Here is an 18,451-nt window from a genome sequence, read left to right as displayed (position 1 = left end):
GTTATCATCATTCTAAGCAAGGCATCCCCCACCCAGTCAAAAAAGGAACATAGTGAAGAAGGACAGTGTTACCGAATGTGAATGGGACGCCCTGTCCTGGCTGAGATGCTCACGCAGTAGGCATTAGACTTTGGAGTGAGTGGCGTCTCGCTGTGCAGGGTTGATAGAGGAACTCCTCGAGATCTGGTTTTGCAGCTCACATTCCCTGTTCTTCTAGGGACCACAGAGGGAGAGGATGTGTAGAGAGGCAAGGAGGGTTTGTGCAGAGATATCTGTGGGGAGAGCTGGGGTAGGCCATGAAGTGGGAGGATGCAGAGCATGTGACCGTCTTCACTGAGGCCTGGTGAGTGGGACCTCCAGGTGACAGTGTTCCCTGCAGCTGTGAGACACAGAGCCTGCATGGACAGTAGAGGTGGCTGCATTTTAGGGGTGTTCTCCATGTCCAGGTGTGCAAGCACCTTGCTAGAGAGAGTGGGCTCCAGGCCATTGGAAGTTGTGCCTATGGGCACTGGTCACCTGAACGTGGAGGGGCTCCAGCAGGGAGTGTCTGCGGTAAGACTGAGACCACTGGAGGCTGAGGAGTGGCAATAGGAAGCAGATGCATCCATGAGTCATGGCTGGAGGAGTCCTCCAGAGCCCTTTAGGGAACCCGTGAAAATGCCCCCAAGACTCAAGTAGGTTCGAATACCTGGCAGGCAGAGAGCACAGACCACCTATGGCAGTACCAGGCACAGGCCCCGAAGGACATTCCATTCTTGTCTCTCTGTCCATCCCACCCTTAACCTCTACGAGAGAGCTGCCATTTTTCCCCCAAACGAGTAAGCAGCCTATTAACTATTGACCTTGGCTGGGAAGAGGGAAGAAAAAAATGTTACCTTTGGGTGAAGTTGGAGTGTGGATCACGAACTAAGCTGCCTAATTTCTGAATTGAGGCTGTGTTTGTAATGAGGAGACAGCAAGACTCTCCCAGAGAATACCAAAGTCATCGGACCTACCCACATTAAAATTCTTTTGGGGTAGGAGTGTTTTCCCCACTGCGTAACTGTTAAAGAGATACTACCCTATCAAATGATCTGTGTCTGGTTTATACCTTATGAGTTGGGCTTGTCCAGTGTTTTGGGGTAGGGGACACATCTTAGAGGGGGCGGCAAATCAGACGAACAAAGTAAACCCCAAGATGGTGGAGACCAACATGCGAGACAGTATAGTCCCTTTGAGGCTGCCGAAGCGTCAGGTTTCATGCCTAGAGTGGCAGAAATGAGCCCTGAGGGACAAGCAGATTCAGTTCATAGACATGCTTGGATTTCATCCTGCAAATGGGGCAGGGGGCGCCAGCAAAGGCTGCCACGTTGTGAGCCTCGGTGGGTACATCTGGCATCCCAGCATGGAACCTGATCTATTGTCGATACTTGATTAATAGTCGAACGAATATATAAATGAATTGATCCAGAAGTCAGTCTTAAACATGTAGGCAAGATGAGGGAGCAGCAGATTATGTATATACCCTGTTGTTATCACAAGCTTTTCTTAAAGTCATTCTAGACATGGACGCAAATGTGAGTGCTTTGTGATTAGATGTGGTTTTATTAGTACTTTGATGATTTCTTAGTATGTCTTAAAACAACTTTCATCTAGGTTTTAACAAAAATCATTTTAACAAAGTGATTTAATATTTTAGAATTTCACTGTATTCAAATTTTGATTTTTATACATTGAATGGGGATTGATGTCATATTTTGATAGGTTTAATAAAACTGTCAACTCAGCCAGATGTCTTAATCCTCTTTAAACCTTATATTCTTTTATTGATGTAATTTCTGTATTTCAACTAGTTTCCTATCTTTTCTATATAAAATCAAAGTTTAAGTGATAGAAAAATCAGCCATGATGTGGGAAATATATTTTGTACATATATACAAACATGTTCTGGGTAATGTATGATTAATATGTATTGTTGTAATGGTTAGTATTCATATGTGTTATACTGGATACTTAGTGATACCTTTTCCATTTTTGTCATAATAACCATTGAAATATATTTTAAACGTTTTTTCCCCTCAGAAGTAAATTTTCGCAGAAGGACTTAGAAATGCTATTCCATGGAATGAGTGCTGATTTTACAAGTGAGAATTTCTCAGCAGCCTGGTATCTTATAGAGAATCACTCAAACACCAGGTTAGTGGATATGGGACTGTCAACTGTGAAGGGTTTCACTCAGATGCTAAAGATGGAATTACACGGTAACTCGAGTTTTAGGTCTGGCTCTGCATACAGTTACATGGTTTTAGGTCTGCGAGCTCTTTGACTTTGCGTTTACCCGTGAACATCTCAGGGTGTCTGTTTCCCTGTTTGTGCAATGGGATGATTCTTTAGAGGTCTCTCATTTCCTACTGTCATTTTATGTTCAATATATTTCATTATTGATGCAGGTTATTAAAAATTTATGGAGCCTTAGCTGGGGACTTAAACTGACATGTATGAATGTGATCTCTCCCTACTCAAATAACATAAAAATTTTAAGTTCTGGGGTAAAACATGGAACACACTGCCTTCTCTGACCATAGGGCAAAGGAAGATGAGTTGGTTTATCATCATGTAAGGACCTGGCTTAAAATTAGCAAAAAAGTAGACAAGGTCATATATCCAATTTGAAGGTTCCCTTCTGTCTTCTAATTACATTTTACTCTGTACAAGAGCAAGTTTGTAGCTTATTTGCAAGATTGATTTAAAATAATTATATTCAGCAAAAAATGTTTGGATAAATCAATGGTTTATTGCTTAAAACTTAAATTATTGATAAATTAGTGTGTTAAAATATACCTTAATATAAATGTTTCATTCATTTATTAGGGTGAAAAGCATTACTAGAAAACATCAGGAAAAGTTGGCATTTTAATACACAGGATAAATTTAACCTGATTGCTTTTTAAAGCAAATGTCCAAGATGAGGAAAGGTTGGCATTTTAATACATAGGGTAAATTTAACCTGATTGCTTTTTAAAGCAAATGTCCAAGATGAATTTTTTCATTGTAGAAGATGATTCTGATTTTACATTACAGATGTAGAATTTCTATTATTATAAGTCAGAATTGAGCTCTGTTTCTTGTGTAGGTCTATCAAGAATACGTTTAAAGTTTTATAGCCGGATTTTCTTAGCTCAAATGGACATAAAACTTCTGAAATACAGAGGCCTGTCTTTAGTTTTCTCTGCTTTAGATATTGAGATGAGATATTGTGGTCTTCCTAGTTATTTAAGTTGTGAATCGACCCACAGGATTCATGTAATTTTATGACTAAGGACAGAGGACTGGATACTGATAAGTATAACATTATGCTTAGTGTTCCACAATGCTTCAGTGAATGTACAAAGCAGTTCCATCTTTGAAATGTTGTCTATCACTGGATGATCTGTGTCTTCTTACCTAGTACAGGATGTTCAAAACTCTTTATCTGGTAAATTGTATATATTATATATAGGTTATAAAAACATCTACACATTTACTTCTTAGGGGTCTAATGTATTTGGAATTACCATCGAGGGCTCCGAAAGTCTTGTAGCTGTTGTAATTTAGGCATTCATAATAAATAAAAGGTTTAGATCTACGCAACAATTTGAAAGCTTTTTGATTTCATCTGGCTTCGTATGATATTAATCTGTGTGCTACTTAGCATCGGTTTTAGCATATTTAGTGTTCTCCACTGAAGGAATTATTTTTTCTTTCTTGCATGTTAGAAGTGTCAAACTTTGGTTTCTTTATTTCATTTCAGTTTTGAGCAGCTCAAAATGGCAGTCACCAACCTAAAGAGACAGGCTAACAAGAAGAGTGAGGGCAGCCTGGCCTATGTGAAAGGCGGTCTCAGTACATTCTTCGAAGCACAGGATGCCCTCTCAGGTAAGGCGATCCTCAGAGCCATCTGCTGGCAGCTTCCGCCATGGAAACCCGGCACTGCCTGCAGGGTGTTTACAGGGTGTGACACTCGGTCTGTTTTTATCAAAGTAGAGATCTCAAATGTGCTATAAATATTTGTTGCAGAGTAGGCTGGCATCTCTTTGAAGACTTGGTACTTTAAAAATTTATCTCTGAGGCTTTTGTTAACCCATCTTACATGTGTGAAATGGGAGACTACTTTAACTCTCTGTGATGTCCACACTCCAGGGCTGATACGAAATTAAATCCCAATGCACAACCACCAATATCTTACATATGTGACTAATTCTATAAATGCAACCCATTGTGTGTTCACTTTGGAAAGGCTGATGATAGGATACCAGTCTCTTCAGCCCTTATCGCACAGGCGCCCACGTATGCACGCAGGTAGCTGTCACTGTGCCATCTGTGTATGGGAGGGACGTTGTATGGAGTACAGATGTCATAGCTTTAGACATTTTAATGCAAGATGTTGGTAGAGTTTTTTTTTTATAAAACTGCTTTTAATTAATGAAAGTTTAATTATTGCTATTTAGTAAAAAGTAATCTATATCAATAAAAGTTAACTCAATTCTTTTTAATAGCTAAGATACTTAAAACTAAATACCCATATAGCTTAAGTATCCATAACTCTAACCATGCATTGAGGCCACATCTTCTTCAATTCAGGAAGGTAAATTTTAAAAATTATTTTTATTCCTAAAGTATAGACATTCTTTTATTATTTTAAAAGTCCCCCTCCTCCCTCTCTACTAAAAATACAAAAAATTAGCCAGGCGTAGTGCATACCTGTAGTCCTAGCTCCTTGGGAGGCTGAGGCTGGAGAATTGCTTGAGCGTGGGAGGCGGAGGTTGCAGTGAGCCGAGATCGCGCCACTGCACTCCAGCCTGGTGACAGAGCGAGACCCCATCTCTAAATAAATTAAATAAATAAATAAATAAATAAGCCCCCCTCTTCCTGTGCCATATATACTTAATTGACCTCCAACACATTAAATGTGTATGTGATGCAGTGTATGTGATGCAGCTTCTTCCTTGCAGGTAGAAGTTAGTTTTTTTTTTTTTTTTTTTTTGAGACGGAGTTTCGCTCTGTCGCCCAGGCGGGAGTGCTGTGGCGCGATCTCAGCTCACTGCAAGCTCCGCCTCCCGGGTTCACGCCATTCTCCTGCCTCAGCCTCCCGAGGAGCTGGGACTACAGGCGCCCGCCACTGCGCCCGGCTAATTTTTTGTATTTTTAGTAGAGACGGGGTTTCACCGTGTTAGCCAGGATGGTCTCGATCTCCTGACCTCGTGATCCGCCCGCCTCGGCCTCCCAAAGTGCTGGGATTACAGGCGTGAGCCACCGCGCCCGGCAGAAGTTAGGTTTTTGAAGGGGTAAAATGTGAATGTCTAAGAGGGAACAGAGAAGGTAGGTGCTCTTCCTGATAAATATGTGTGCCTTATGTTTCTTGATGGTGTGCCATTCTTTATTTGTGCTTATTGCTCTTCTCTCTAAATTACCACTGACAGCACATAGAGCAACACAGAGAGATCCACTATTGTCAGTGGACTATGTAGACTAGGAATTACATGGTTCAAATTTGACAGAGCTGATATGTAAAGTTGCTCGGGTAAGTTGTTTTTACTTTTCTGTTATGAAAATTTTGAAATGTGAAAAGTGGAGATGAAAGTATAATCTCCCAAGTAAGGGCAAGGACATTTATGTGCATAATCACAATGATATTATCATAGTTAACCAAATTGGCAATAATTGTTTAATATCATCTCATTCCCAGTTCAGATTTCTCAAATTATCCCCAAACTTTATTTTTATAGGTGATATGTCCAAATCAAGATTCAAATAAAATTCAGGCATTTCACTTAATTTTTAAATCTCTTAAGCCTCTTTTAAACTAAAACCATCCCCTCACCTTTCTTACCCTGTTTCTGGTTTTTCTTTTTTTTTTTTTTTCTTTTGAGATGGAGTCTCACTCTGTTGCCCAGGCTGGAGTGCGGTGGTGCGATTTCAGCTTACTGCAACCTCTGCCTCCTGGGTTCACATGATTCTCCTGCCTCAGCCTCCCAAGTAGCTGGGATTACAGGTGCCCACCACCACGCCCAGCTAATTTCCACGCCCAGCCTGTTTCTGGTTTTTCATGCTATTGATTTGTTGAAGAAACAAGGTCATTTGTCCTGGAAGATATCCCCCACTCTGAATTTGACTGATGACTTCCTTGTGGTGTCATTTAACTTATTTTTCTTGCCATTAAATTGCTTGGACTCATCTAATTGGATATTAGATAAGATTCACTTTCAACACTTTTAGGCATGGATAGTGCTGTGCTTCCTGTTTCATCACACCAGGCAGGAGTGCATTCGTGTCTGGGGTCTCCTGAACAGACACTGCAGTGGATCAGTAGCTTCAAGGGGGGACTGGGAACGAACAGGTGAGACAGATAGATAAATATGTATGTATACACATACATACACACACACACACACACACACACACACCCACACCCACATATACTTTTCAAACCTCTACTGTCTCTGCTTTATTTTGGTTTGTTTTCCCTGAAATTCTCTATTAAGATTTTCATGTTTTATTAGCATTGCATTCTAATTTTTAAATCATTTAAAATTCATGTTATAGGCCCTTTCGTTATCTGTTTAGTATTTGTATGTTCTGTGTGATTTTTTTAACATTGATTCTTCAGAGATATCTTTTTTGTGTTTTTAAAATGTGTATTGTAATTTTCCTCCTTAGTAGTTTTTAGTAAATTTTTGTTTTCATAGTCTCTGTTCTCATAGTATTGTGAACAGAGAATATGTTTCTTAATATATATTTAAGTTTTTGTAAGTATGCCAAAAATTAAAAAGGACGGACGGATGTGGTTTCTTCAGGGTCCACTATTTGATATAGTATCAATGCCTGATTGATTATATTATTTAAATATAGCTTATTTATATTAAACATGACAGACAAATCTCTTTCTTTAATTTGGATTCTGTCGGCTTTTCTTCATATGTAAAGCATGTATTTACTTTGTCACTTTTGATGGTTTAGATTCTCTTGATGATAATATATTTATAAGTAGTCCCCAAGATTACCCTCAGTTTGGTGTTTTGCTAGAAGGACTCACAGAACTCAGTGAAAGCTGTTGTACTCAGACTTATGGTTCATTACAGGGAAATTACAGGTTATAGTCAGCCAGGGATAGAGATTCATGGAGCAGGTCTAGGAAATTTTCATCCATGGAGCTTCCAGTAGTCTCCCAGTGGAATTGCAGGCAGCACTGACTTTCCTGGTAACAGTCCGTGACACACACATGGAGTACTTGCAGCCAAGGAAGCTCCCCAAACCTTGTTGTCCAGATCCGGAGTCTGTAGTACGGCCCCGTCACATGGACATGGTCAAGGCCGACTTCAATCTTCATTCCCTCAGATCAGGCTGATATTGAGTGACCCTAAGTCCTCACCGTAAATTCCATTGTTAGATTATCTAGTGTGGCCCGTGGTCCACAGGCAAACAAAGACACTCTTATCAGGCAGAACATTTCAAGAGTTTAGAGATTACCTCCCAGGACCTAAGGACAAAGGCCAGACCTTTTGGGGGGCAAGATTAAATTCTTTGGTGCATAATAACATGATATTAATATTTTATACCCTTCCTTTTATATACATTGGCTTGATATATTATTTGTAATATTCTTTGTAACCTTTTAGAAATTTTTCTTTTGGCATGTGTCTTGTGTTGCTACATGTGGCAGGATTTTTATTTTTTATTATTTTATTTTATTTATTTATTTATTTAAATTATACTTTAAGTTTTAGGGTACATGTGCACAACGTGCAGGTTTGTTACATATGTATACATGTGCCATGTTGGTGTGCTGCACCCATTAACTCATCATTTAACATTAGGTATATCTCCTGATGCTATCCAAATACTATTCTGAGAGCCTTTGCTCTGAGTTGACCAGCAGTGGATGCCTCCTCCCGGTTTCCTTCTGTTTTCCTGCCATTCTGGGATGTGGGGAAATTGTTCTCCAAATGGTTATCAAAGGAAACGAGCTGTGTGGTTAAGAAAAATGGGGGAACAGAACTGTAGTCCTGAAGATGGTTATGGAAACATTGGAAAATGTTTCTGGTCTGTGCCATCCTTGTGTTCCAGTGTTGGGCACAGGGGACAGGTACAAATCAGAGCCCTTCTCTGCTCTTTTTTTGTTGTTTTTTTCTTTCTTTCTTTCTTTTTTTTACATCATCTGCATTCTTCAGTTCCATCCAGTGGACTATTTCATACCCAGTCCAAGTCTGGTTTTTTTCAGTCCATCCCAACCCGGTATTCCATTAGTAGCTTTTGTTCATCCTTAAGTTTTTATGCCATTGTCGGTTTTGTTTCTTCCTGTGTGTCCCCACAGGTATTTTAATTAGAACTTGACAAGAAGTGTGTCTGGCATAACACCTGCCAATAGCAACCTTGGTATGTTTAGTACAGTTTTTTTTCTTTATTCTGCAAAAATGTTTCTAGCACCAGACTTCATTTTGCCATGGCCTTCCCTCTGTCATTCCCTTCTGTTCCCTTGAAGTGGGAGTGACCTGTGGGTTGTTAGCAGATACTGCTCACGCTGGTCCTCCTGGGTGGTGGTGAGGTTCCTGGAGCTGTTTGTAGTGTGAAAGGCCTTCCTGAGCTCCTTGGTGCCTCTGGGCACCTCCTTTGTTTTGGTGGCGATTTCCCTGAATGCCCCTTGAGCTTGTGCATTTAGTGACCTGTATAATCTCTTGTTTTTAGCGGCAAGTCCAGCATTATCACTTGCCCCTTTCAAGAACAACTGTGGGTCAAAACTGTGTGAGTGAATATTCGTTATGGTACACTGGGGTAAAAAGCCGAAACAGACTAAATTACGCATGTTCCTCCCTGCGCTCTGTCTTATTTGTCTTCCTTCCCCTGTTCCTTTTATTGCTGCTGCTTAACTCTGTGTGGCTTGAGCCGTAATTGATTTTTTGACACATTCTGTTGTTAGTGTCTATTGATGTATGAAGATAATTCAGGTAGGTATCATTTTCTGGGACTCAGTTATCTAAGTGAGAATCATTCCTGTTACTCTTCTGTGTAATAGTTGCAATTATTTTACTGTTTGTTTATTTTCTTTAGTATAATTTGGGAAGAAAAGGAACCACAGATTACGTAACCAGTTTAAATATAATTTATATATGATTTGTCTACTCTGATAAAAGTTTGGTAAAATAAGAAATAGAAACTAAATGTTTGAAGGGCTCTCTATCAATTTAAAATATTAATGCATCTTACACTAACCCTTCCTCTTCTCCTACTTTAGTAAATATAATCCTACTCAGAGGTCAGCATGTGAGCCAAATTAGGCCACAGCCTTTGTACAGGCCGGGAGCTAAGCATGGCTGTGTTTTCCCATGCTAAAAACAAAAAAAGAAGAATATGTGATAGAGGCCGTATGTGGCCCACAAAGCCTAAAGTGTTGACTGTTTGGTTCTTCATAGCAATAGTTTGCTCATCTGTCATCCGGCTTGAATATTCCTGTCTCACACAGGCTAGCATTAACATAGATTGGTTAGAGCATATACATACTTCTGTGCCCAACACTGGATCCTTTAGATACTACCCTACACAGACATTATTCCTTGGTGCCTCGTTTAACAATGATATTTACATAAATGCATGGATGGATATTATGAATTTCTTATTGTAATTGCAAATTTGATATCTACATTTTATTTGAGTGTTAAAATGATCAAATAATTGTAGTGAAGTAATAGGCAGTCTTTCTATAACCTTGATTTTTCTTTGAGAAGTACTGTTGTACATACTTTTTTTTGTTTCTCAAATACAAACTTATAATGTTCAACTGCTTCACATATTTAAGTTTTAATAGATTAGAAACAATAACAAACCTATGATCATGTACCAAGTTGCTTATTGAGTTATTCTACTTAAAGATGTTTTCAGAGAAAATAAAAGGTCAAGTGAACCAGACATTGGGTTATTTGGTTTAATTTTCTGGAAAATAGGATTGCCTTTATCAGATCCCAGTGTCTCTCAGTCCTCATGCTTGGCTGACAGCTTGGCAGTGGCTCTGCTGTGGTGGAGATGGGCGGAGGAAGTTAGTCTGTCAGCAAAAAGGGCTGTAAACTGAGCCGGGGGGCCAGGGTCACCTCATCTTGACCTGCTCATCAGTGATGGGTTTTGTCAGCATCAGAAAATGTGGCTACATGATTTCCTTTAATGCTAATTTTGACTTAGAAAGCAACCTGTGGAGCAGGGCTACTGTGGGGTGTGACATCTCAGCGCAGTGTCTGTTCATTGCAGCTGCAGTGGGTGCCCACTCGGTGCAGCTGCAGTGGGTGCCAGGTGTCCTTCTCAGCCAGGACTATCAGAACATCACAGCAGCATTTAAACCAAGAGGGAGAGCAGATCTGCACACATGCAGCATGGAAGTCTTTCCAGTTTAGCTTTCTAATGCTTAGGCATAGTCCATCTCCTTTCCTTACAGAGAGGGAAGGAAGTTCCTTTCCGTTTCAGCTTTCTAATGCTTAGGCATAGTCCATCTCCTTTCCTTACAGAGAGGGAAGGAAGTTCCTTTCCGTTTCACTTAGTAAGTTGAACCCCAGTTTCAGCTTTGGTATGTAGAAACATCTTATGTCACTGTTACCACACAATTCAAATTTTGAAACATTACAGAAATTACTTTCTCCTCACTCCAAGTCAACCAAGACAATTCAACTGCAGTAGCTGGGTTCTTCCCCAAATATACTCCTTCTTTCTCTGAATGTGTTTCTTTGATAGAGGAGCAGTCTGTTTATTTTAGAATTTCAAAGAAAATTTGAGGTGGCTTACAGAAAGAAAAAAAGATGAAAAATAACAAGATCATAATTAGAAACTAAAAGGAGCAGAGAGATAGATATTAGCAGGCATTGAGTGTGTATTCATAGTGCATTTGAGAACCGAATTTACTCAGAATTTTCTGACCAATTATCTGAAATGCTTGGGACCCAGCAATGTTTCAGATTTCAGATTTTTTCAGATTTTTAAATATTTGCATTACCTAGTTACTGGTTGAACATCCCAAATCTGAACATCTGAAATGTGAAGTGCTCCAATGAACATTTCCTTTGAATGTCATGTGAGTGCTTCAAGTTTCAGATTTTGGAGCATTTTGGATTTTCGGATTGGAGATACTCAACCTGTGTAATGAGACCCAGGATGCCTCAAGTCTCCCTTTTCTTTTTCAATTCAACTGTTTTTACCACTTGTTCTTGAAGACAGATGATTATGTGTGTTAGGTACTATTTTAATAGTGTTAAACTGTGAATAACTTAGACTGGTGTCTGCTGGGTACCTTGTACAGGGTAGCATGTTTTTGCTGCTTTTCAGCAGTGAAAATAATATGACCATTTTAAAAAGCTGTTTAAAAATATCATTTTGATTTAATGTATCTCCACCCATTAAAATGGCCTACATTTTAACTAGATTTTTTTTTCTAGCCATCCATCAAAAACTAGAAGCAGATGGAACGGAAAAAGTAGAAGGATCCATGACGCAGAAACTGGAGAATGTTCTGAACAGTAAGTTTTGTCCTACTACCCAGAACTATTTATGGATTTTACAACATGCTTTAAAATTAGTTCTTGGACCTGATATCGCGGGACAAGGCAGTAAGTTGCATTTTACTATTTATTTCTAAATAGTAGTGATTTAATGAACACAAAGGAGAATAGAAACATTGAAAATGAATGTTCTGTTTCTGCTTGCATTTTATTTATGAGAAATCATAATTTGAAAACAATCCAATATACTTCTTAAGAAATAAAGTTTCCTACCCTAAAACCAACCAGCATATAAACAGCATCTTCAAAGCGAGGAAAGCACTGAAGCAGTAGCCAGGATTGTCACTGACCAGCAACGTGGAGGAGCCATCATCAGGCGTCTCCCAGCATTAATGCAAATAACCTCAGCCACAAGAGTAACAGATTCTTAGGGGTCATTTATTTGTGTATAACTTGCCTTTTTCTAAAAAAGAATTTAAGGCAGCTGGCTATTTAAGAAGGTGTCTAAATCTGAGATATTTTGTAAAAATTATAGGCCCAGGGAAAATGGCTATGTGCAAAGTTTTGAGTTCTGTCCACGTCCCTTGTCTGTCCTTTTTCTGATGTCCTAGGTCCCAGCTACTTATCCTGCTGATTTAGAAGAAAGTGATCAGATGAATTAATCCTTACTATGATGTTAGTGGCTTAAAAATAAGTCATTTAAAATAAATCTTTTCACAACTATAGTTTACATTTGATAGGAATGCCCATGGGCATCTCCTTAGGTTTAAATATAATGTACAATCTCATCAGGAAGTAGAGTTAAGAATCATTGGAAGAATGAAAAAACCTCACACCAGATCTTTAAAAATTCTGTGAATTTAAGGCTGTGATGTGAAGCTAGTTTTGCCCTTCCGGCTTAAGTGAGTCCCGTGGGTGGAACGTTCTGAGCCTGTATGTGAATATCTTTTCACAAACCTGAGTGATCCCTAAAAGAAAGCATTTTCTAGAAAGAAGTGTTCTCTTGGTAGTAGCATTTGAGGACTTGGATTTCATTCTAAATTTAGGAATTTAACAGCACTTAATTTTTTCCTCTGATTATTATTACTTAATTGCCCTGAGATCTTCCCTTGTTTTTATCTTTGAGAACCAAGTCACCAATGTTGTTAAAATGAAGATATTCTGAATTTAACTCAAACACTTATTGAAGCTGTTTCTATATTAGCATAGTCAGACATTTTAAGATCTTGGAAGGATATTTTCTACTCAAGGATGTTATTTGCCCTGGAGAAGTTATCAAACTATGATATCTGTATAAAAAACATGTTTACTTCAGTAATTTTAAAAAGGTGGCTTATAGGAACAGTTGACATAGTAAGTATATGATGGTATCAGAGAAGGAGATCCTTGTTCCGGTTTGGGAAATTCTAGGGTCTGTTTCATGTGTTAGGCTTACCATAGTGTGGTAATGTGATTTTTTTTATTTCTTTGAAGCAGTAGTTTGAGAAATCGTCCCTTGGGACTTGGGGTATTAAAAATTGCCTTTTTCCATATATTCCTTTATAACCATGAATTTTTTTTTCCAGAAAAGTGTCGTATTAACTTTCTATTGAAGTTTGCTCTTTTTGGATAAAGTTCAGCTTAATATAAATGGTCACTTCTTTATGAGACCATTCGTCAGGACTTTTTGCTATTAAAATTTCCCTAAAATACATTTCTTTATAACAATTCCCCCTTTTCTAGAAACATTTTTTAACAACATGATGTTGATTGCTGTCTTAGGATATGTTTTTCCTAATTCAGGTCAACTTGACAGACGTTTATTTAACTCTGGTTGTGTCAAGCCCCGTGCTAAGCCAGCCTGGGAGCAAAGCCGGAGGGGATGCAGCTCTGGCCCCGAGAGAGTCCCGCCCAGGCGGGTTCGTAGTTATCAGACTTCAGTACTGCAGAACTGGTGAAAACAGAACTAAAGTCACAAAGATTCAGTCAGTTCTGTTGAAAATTGAATTTATTTTGTTGTAGAAAGGAAGGAAAGCATAAATGAGTATGAGTGTCATTTACTTCACTTAGATGATTACTAATGCTTTTTACCTGATGTATAATTATATACTAATGTATATGGATATTTCTTCAGTTTTTTTAAAAGATTTTTTTTTAAATTGGGCAATCTTTCTGACTTTTAAGCTAAGTTTCTAAAGGATACTGTTGGCTGCAGGAAACTTAGGTCATTTATTCAGAGTTTATCAGTTTTGACACTTTCTTTTGAAATTGTTAAAAAAAAGAAATTGTTTTTTGTTTTCATGATATGTGTTTCTCATGTCTGTGTTTGAACTTAATAACTTATTCTTGATTTCAAGCCAATGATGACTATTAGTTTATTTACATCAAATTTGCATATTCAACTCTGTGTTCTTACCTGTTTCAAATATATAGAACAGCATTGTTCAATAGAATTTCTGCAATGATGAAAATGTAGCTACTGAGCACTTCCAATGTGACTAGTACAACTGAGGAATTGAGTTTTAAATTTTTATTTAATTTTAATTAATTCTGCTTTAAATTGAAATAGTCCCGTGTGGCTGGTAGTTACTGTGTTAGACAGTGCAGGTGTAGACATGCTGTGTAAGTATTTGTAGCAGTAGCTGTGGCAGTCGTAGCTCACGCTTGTGGAGGGCCTACTGCAGGGCAGGTGTTGCTCGAAACTATCTAGGTATATTTAGTCCTCACAACAACACTTTGAGGTTTGTGCTGTTATCTTCGCTTTATTGATGAAAAAAACTAAAGCCCAGAAGATTAATTGAGCCATGTAAGGTTATGTAAGTAGTAAGTAGCAGAGCTGCAATTTATATCCAGAAATATGGCTCCAGACTTGTGCTTTGAACTGCAGGCAGGCCGTGCTGTGTGTGTGGTTTTGATAGGCGCAGGTTTCAGTCATCACGGTTCAGTTCATGACAGCCGTCCCCCAGCAACACCGTGGAGAACTGCGGTTCCCACAGGGCAGTCACCATAGCTGCATAAAGTACAGTTCCCCTCCAGCCCTTTAATTCACACGTCGCTGTGTAAATGACAGGTGCTCTGGATGATCAGCCACACTGCCTCCTTCAAGGCCACCAGCGATAGTCACTGTACGTCTGTTACCAGTTCTCAGCAGACAGCAAAGTGTGCAGTTGTGCTACCTCCTTATCTCCCAGTGACAAACCCTCCTGACATTTTACAAAAATGGATGATCGGGAAGGGATTGGTCGATAAAGATGAAAGTGCATCAAAAACCAGGAAGCTCTAACACTGGAAGTGAAACGCAAATCCACCAAATGGAGAGTGACGGAAGGAATAGCTGGCTGTGGGGATGTAGGTCCTCCTGTCTTTGAGACTCAAGAGTAACTCAGTGGAGGGGAACTTCCCAACAAAGGTGAGCAAATGTGAAGAAAAGCATGAGATGTCCCAAAGGAAGCAATGCTCAGAGAACCTCAGAGATGTTTCATGATGTGGACGGTGCAAAGGAAAAAATATCAGAAGTTGATTCACGCTTAGAAAGGAGCAGGATAATCTGTCAGAGCACAGAAAAGAGGCTTGATTCATATTGTAAATATTACAACAAAAAAGAAGGCAAACACTCTTGATAAGTTTTTCTACAAAGAAATATGACGCTTTAATTTTAAATGTTTCTGATGTTTTATTTTTTATTTTTTTTCTTGTGATGTGGAGATTCTTTTTTTTATTATTATACTTTAAGTTCTAGGGTACATGTGCACAACGTGCAGGTTTGTTACATGTGTATACATGTGCCATGTTGGTGTGCTGCACCCATTAACTCGTCATTTACATTAGGTATATCTCCTAATGCTATCCCTTCCCCCTCCCCCAACTCCACGACGGGCCTCAGTGTGTGATGGTCCCCTTCCTGTGTCCAGGTGTTCTCATTGTTCAATTCCCACCTATGAGTGAGAACATACGGTGTTTGGTTTTTTGTCCTTGTGATAGTTTGCTGAGAATGATGGTTTCCAGCTTCATCCATGTCCCTACGAAGGACACGAACTCTTCCTTTTTTATGGCTGCATAGTATTCCCTGGTGTATATGTGCCACATTTTCTTAATCCAGTCTGTCATTGATGGAAACTCACTCAAAACTGCTCAACTACATGGAAACTGAACAACCTGCTCCTGAATGACTACTGGATACATAACAAAATGAAGGCAGAAATAAAGATGTTCTTTGAAACCAACAAGAACAAAGACACAACATACCAGAATCTCTGGGACACATTTAAAGCAGTGTGTAGAGGGAAATTTATAGCACTAAATGCCCAGAAGAGAAAGCAGGAAAGATCTAAAATTGACACCCTAACATCACAATTAAAAGAACTAGAGAAGCAAGAGCAAACACATTCAAAAGCGAGCAGAAGGCAAGAAATAACTAAGATCAGAGCAGAATTGAAGGAGATAGAGACACAAAAAACCCTTCAAAAAATCAGTGAATCCAGGAGCTGGCTTTTGAAAAGATCAGCAAACTTGATAAACCGCTAGCAAGACTAATAAAGAAGAAAAGAGAGAAGAATCAAATAGATGCAATAAAAAATGATAAAGGGGATATCACCACCGATCCCACAGAAATACAAACTACCATCAGAGAATACTATAAACACCTCTACGCAAATGAACTAGAAAATCTAGAAGAAATGGATAAATTCCTGGACACATACACCCTCCCAAGTCTAAACCAGGAAGAAGTTGAATCTCTGATGTTTTAAATTGTATATTAAATATTAGTTGTACTTTAAAAAATTGTTATTCATTCGTAACCAACAATAAGTGAGTTTTTAATGTTTCAACAAACGTTTTTGGATATCACAGAACAAATGTAATTTTCCCATTGATTATTAGATGGTCTTGCTGGATTTTAGCTTGCACAGCCCCTGTCATAGCCCTGCACACTGTGCAAAGCCAGGCCTGCCCATGGGGTGTTGTACCACCTCTCTGAGTAGTAAGAATACTGGTCATTGATTCAGACAGCAATTTTTAGTCCTTCCTCTGTAAGCATTTATTGAGCACATGTTTGTTTTATCCTAGGGATATAAAAATAAAACTTGTACTTTACTTCTAGAGATTATAACTGAATGGAAAATACACATATTCAGGTGATCAAATGATGGTTTGATAATACTGCTCTGGTGGGAGTCCTCAGGTGTGGCTACAGCCCACAAAAGGGGAAGCAAGCCAAAAAGTTGAGTGCAGAGAATACCAGGGGAGGACACAGGAGCCTTAAGAGAGGAGCAGGAAGTACCCAGACAAGCAGAGGCCGGCGGTGGGCGGCTGAGTGGAGGGAGGCAGGTGTGTCCCCGCGGGGCCAGCGCGTGAGTTCAGAGACAAGCAGAGGCCAGCGGTGGGTGGCTGAGTGGAGGGAGGCAGGTGTGTCCCCGCAGGGCCAGCGCGTGAGTTCAGAGAGGAGATAGGCCGCAGCCCAGGAAGCAGGGTCCAGTGTGGCTGTGTGCAGATAGGAGAGGTGTGGCCGCAGGGTAGACGAGGTCTGCCCCTGACGAACTGGCTGTGCAGTAGTGTGGAATCTGTCTTTATTCTGAAGACAAATAGTGAGCCATCGCAGAAGTTTAACAGAACGATAGGAGATTTTTAAAGAGCAATCTGCCATCTGTATAGAGAATGGACGAGAAGGGAGGTACGCCAGAGGCAAGAGGAGAGCAGCCAGAAGTGGACGGTAGGCATGTTAAGCCAGGTCAGCAGTAATGTGTGTAGTAATGGAATAAAGTAACGTGAGGGTGACGTGGCTGCTAGTGAAGGTAGAGCGAGTGGCAGGTGAGAAAGGTGAAGGGACAGGGAAGGTTTGACATGTTACATAGGGAAAAGGAAGTAGTCATTGGTGATTTACAGATGTCTGGCCTCAGATGGATGAAGGAGCACGTTTGGCGCATAAGGAGAGGCATAGAGATGAGAACATTCAGTTCAACATGTTGAATTTGAGATTCCTGAGGGTCGTGCTGATGGGTTTTGCTAGCTCTCACTATGTCCCCATGATGTCACACTGGGCAACTTGAATAACCTCTGTGTCTCAGTTGCCTCCAACATAAAACGGGGGTAAAAACAGTGCCTGTCTTACAGCGACATAACCATGTGCAGGTGAACTAATACCCATGAGGGTTTTCGAATCACACCTGGCATAGCATCAGTGCTTCCTGTCGTTATTAGCTGTCATTATTGTATGTCCAGTGAAAATATTCCTGTCATTATTAGCTATCATTATTGCATGTCTAGTGAAAATATTTTTAAGGATTGGTCTTACGCTCGCAAACACATCTTGAAACACAGATTTGGGAGTCACCAGCATAAAGATGGTAGTTGGACAAACAGGATTGAATGATTTAACCCAAGTACCACGTGCAAAATGAAAGAAGAATGCTAAGGATTTGGAACACTAGGGAATATCCAGAAGGGCCAGGATGTGGAAAAGAAACTGACGTTTGCTCAGTGGCTGGCTGGCAAATATTTCACAACATGCATTCAAAAAAAAAAAGAAGAAGATAGAAAAAATTAACCTAATATTAGCATTTCCCAATTTCCAAGGTGTAAATACTCCCATTGGGGTTGGTTTCAAGCTGCCAACTCAGCTTGGAGGTGAAGAGATACTGACAGTTGCTCTTGAGAGGGGTACGTGCTGACGTCAGCTCTTTCCTCAGTTCCATCTACTCCACACAGAGTGTCAGGCATAGTGCTGTGAAACAGGCTTTCAGTACTGTTAATGATCCTGTCCGTATAGCATCGTTATGGTATAGCCGGCAGCCTATCTCGTCATTTTCTAGCCTGTTGAAATTGAGGTAGTTAGGTCTCTTTGTGAATTTGTACATTTTAGGGTTACTCTGATATTCCAGGCACCCTAATGTTTCACTTCCTAATCTCATTCAACTTGCTTATTCCTGGGATACATTGTGCTGTGGTGGGTGGGGTAGCAGGTGAGGGGGCGTTCCTTCTGTCCT

The 18,451-nt window shown here is 39.7% G+C and overlaps 1 protein-coding gene across 18 annotated transcripts in view, besides 3 other annotated features; it reads left to right on the top strand.

The window, feature by feature from the left end:
* The window catches only part of EXOC2 (exocyst complex component 2), a 207,986-nt gene that overhangs the window by 71,535 nt on the left and 118,000 nt on the right, over nt 1-18,451 (top strand). For all 18 annotated transcript variants that reach the window (NR_073064.2, XM_017011022.2, XM_017011023.2 and 15 more), the window contains 3 exons: nt 2,062-2,175; nt 3,770-3,894; nt 11,427-11,507. Coding sequence is in view for 17 of the 18 variants with exons in the window: in XM_017011022.2 (XP_016866511.1) it covers nt 2,062-2,175; nt 3,770-3,894; nt 11,427-11,507 (320 nt within the window). In the remaining variant the exon portion in view is untranslated. The remainder of the gene's footprint in view (nt 1-2,061; nt 2,176-3,769; nt 3,895-11,426; nt 11,508-18,451) is intronic.
* Nucleotides 14,158-14,357: an enhancer, noted in NCBI's record as "active region_23856". NCBI's record gives its function as "activates an Ori minimal core promoter by ATAC-STARR-seq in GM12878 lymphoblastoid cells {active_cell/tissue: GM12878}" and the evidence as "EXISTENCE:reporter gene assay evidence [ECO:0000049][PMID:35858748]".
* Nucleotides 14,418-14,517: a silencer, noted in NCBI's record as "silent region_16815". NCBI's record gives its function as "represses an Ori minimal core promoter by ATAC-STARR-seq in GM12878 lymphoblastoid cells {active_cell/tissue: GM12878}" and the evidence as "EXISTENCE:reporter gene assay evidence [ECO:0000049][PMID:35858748]".
* Nucleotides 16,790-16,859: an enhancer, noted in NCBI's record as "active region_23855". NCBI's record gives its function as "activates an Ori minimal core promoter by ATAC-STARR-seq in GM12878 lymphoblastoid cells {active_cell/tissue: GM12878}" and the evidence as "EXISTENCE:reporter gene assay evidence [ECO:0000049][PMID:35858748]".

Source organism: Homo sapiens, chromosome 6 (genome assembly GCF_000001405.40).
Source record: "Homo sapiens chromosome 6, GRCh38.p14 Primary Assembly".
Lineage (NCBI taxonomy): Eukaryota > Metazoa > Chordata > Mammalia > Primates > Hominidae > Homo > Homo sapiens.
This window is presented reverse-complemented; position numbering and strand designations above follow the sequence as displayed.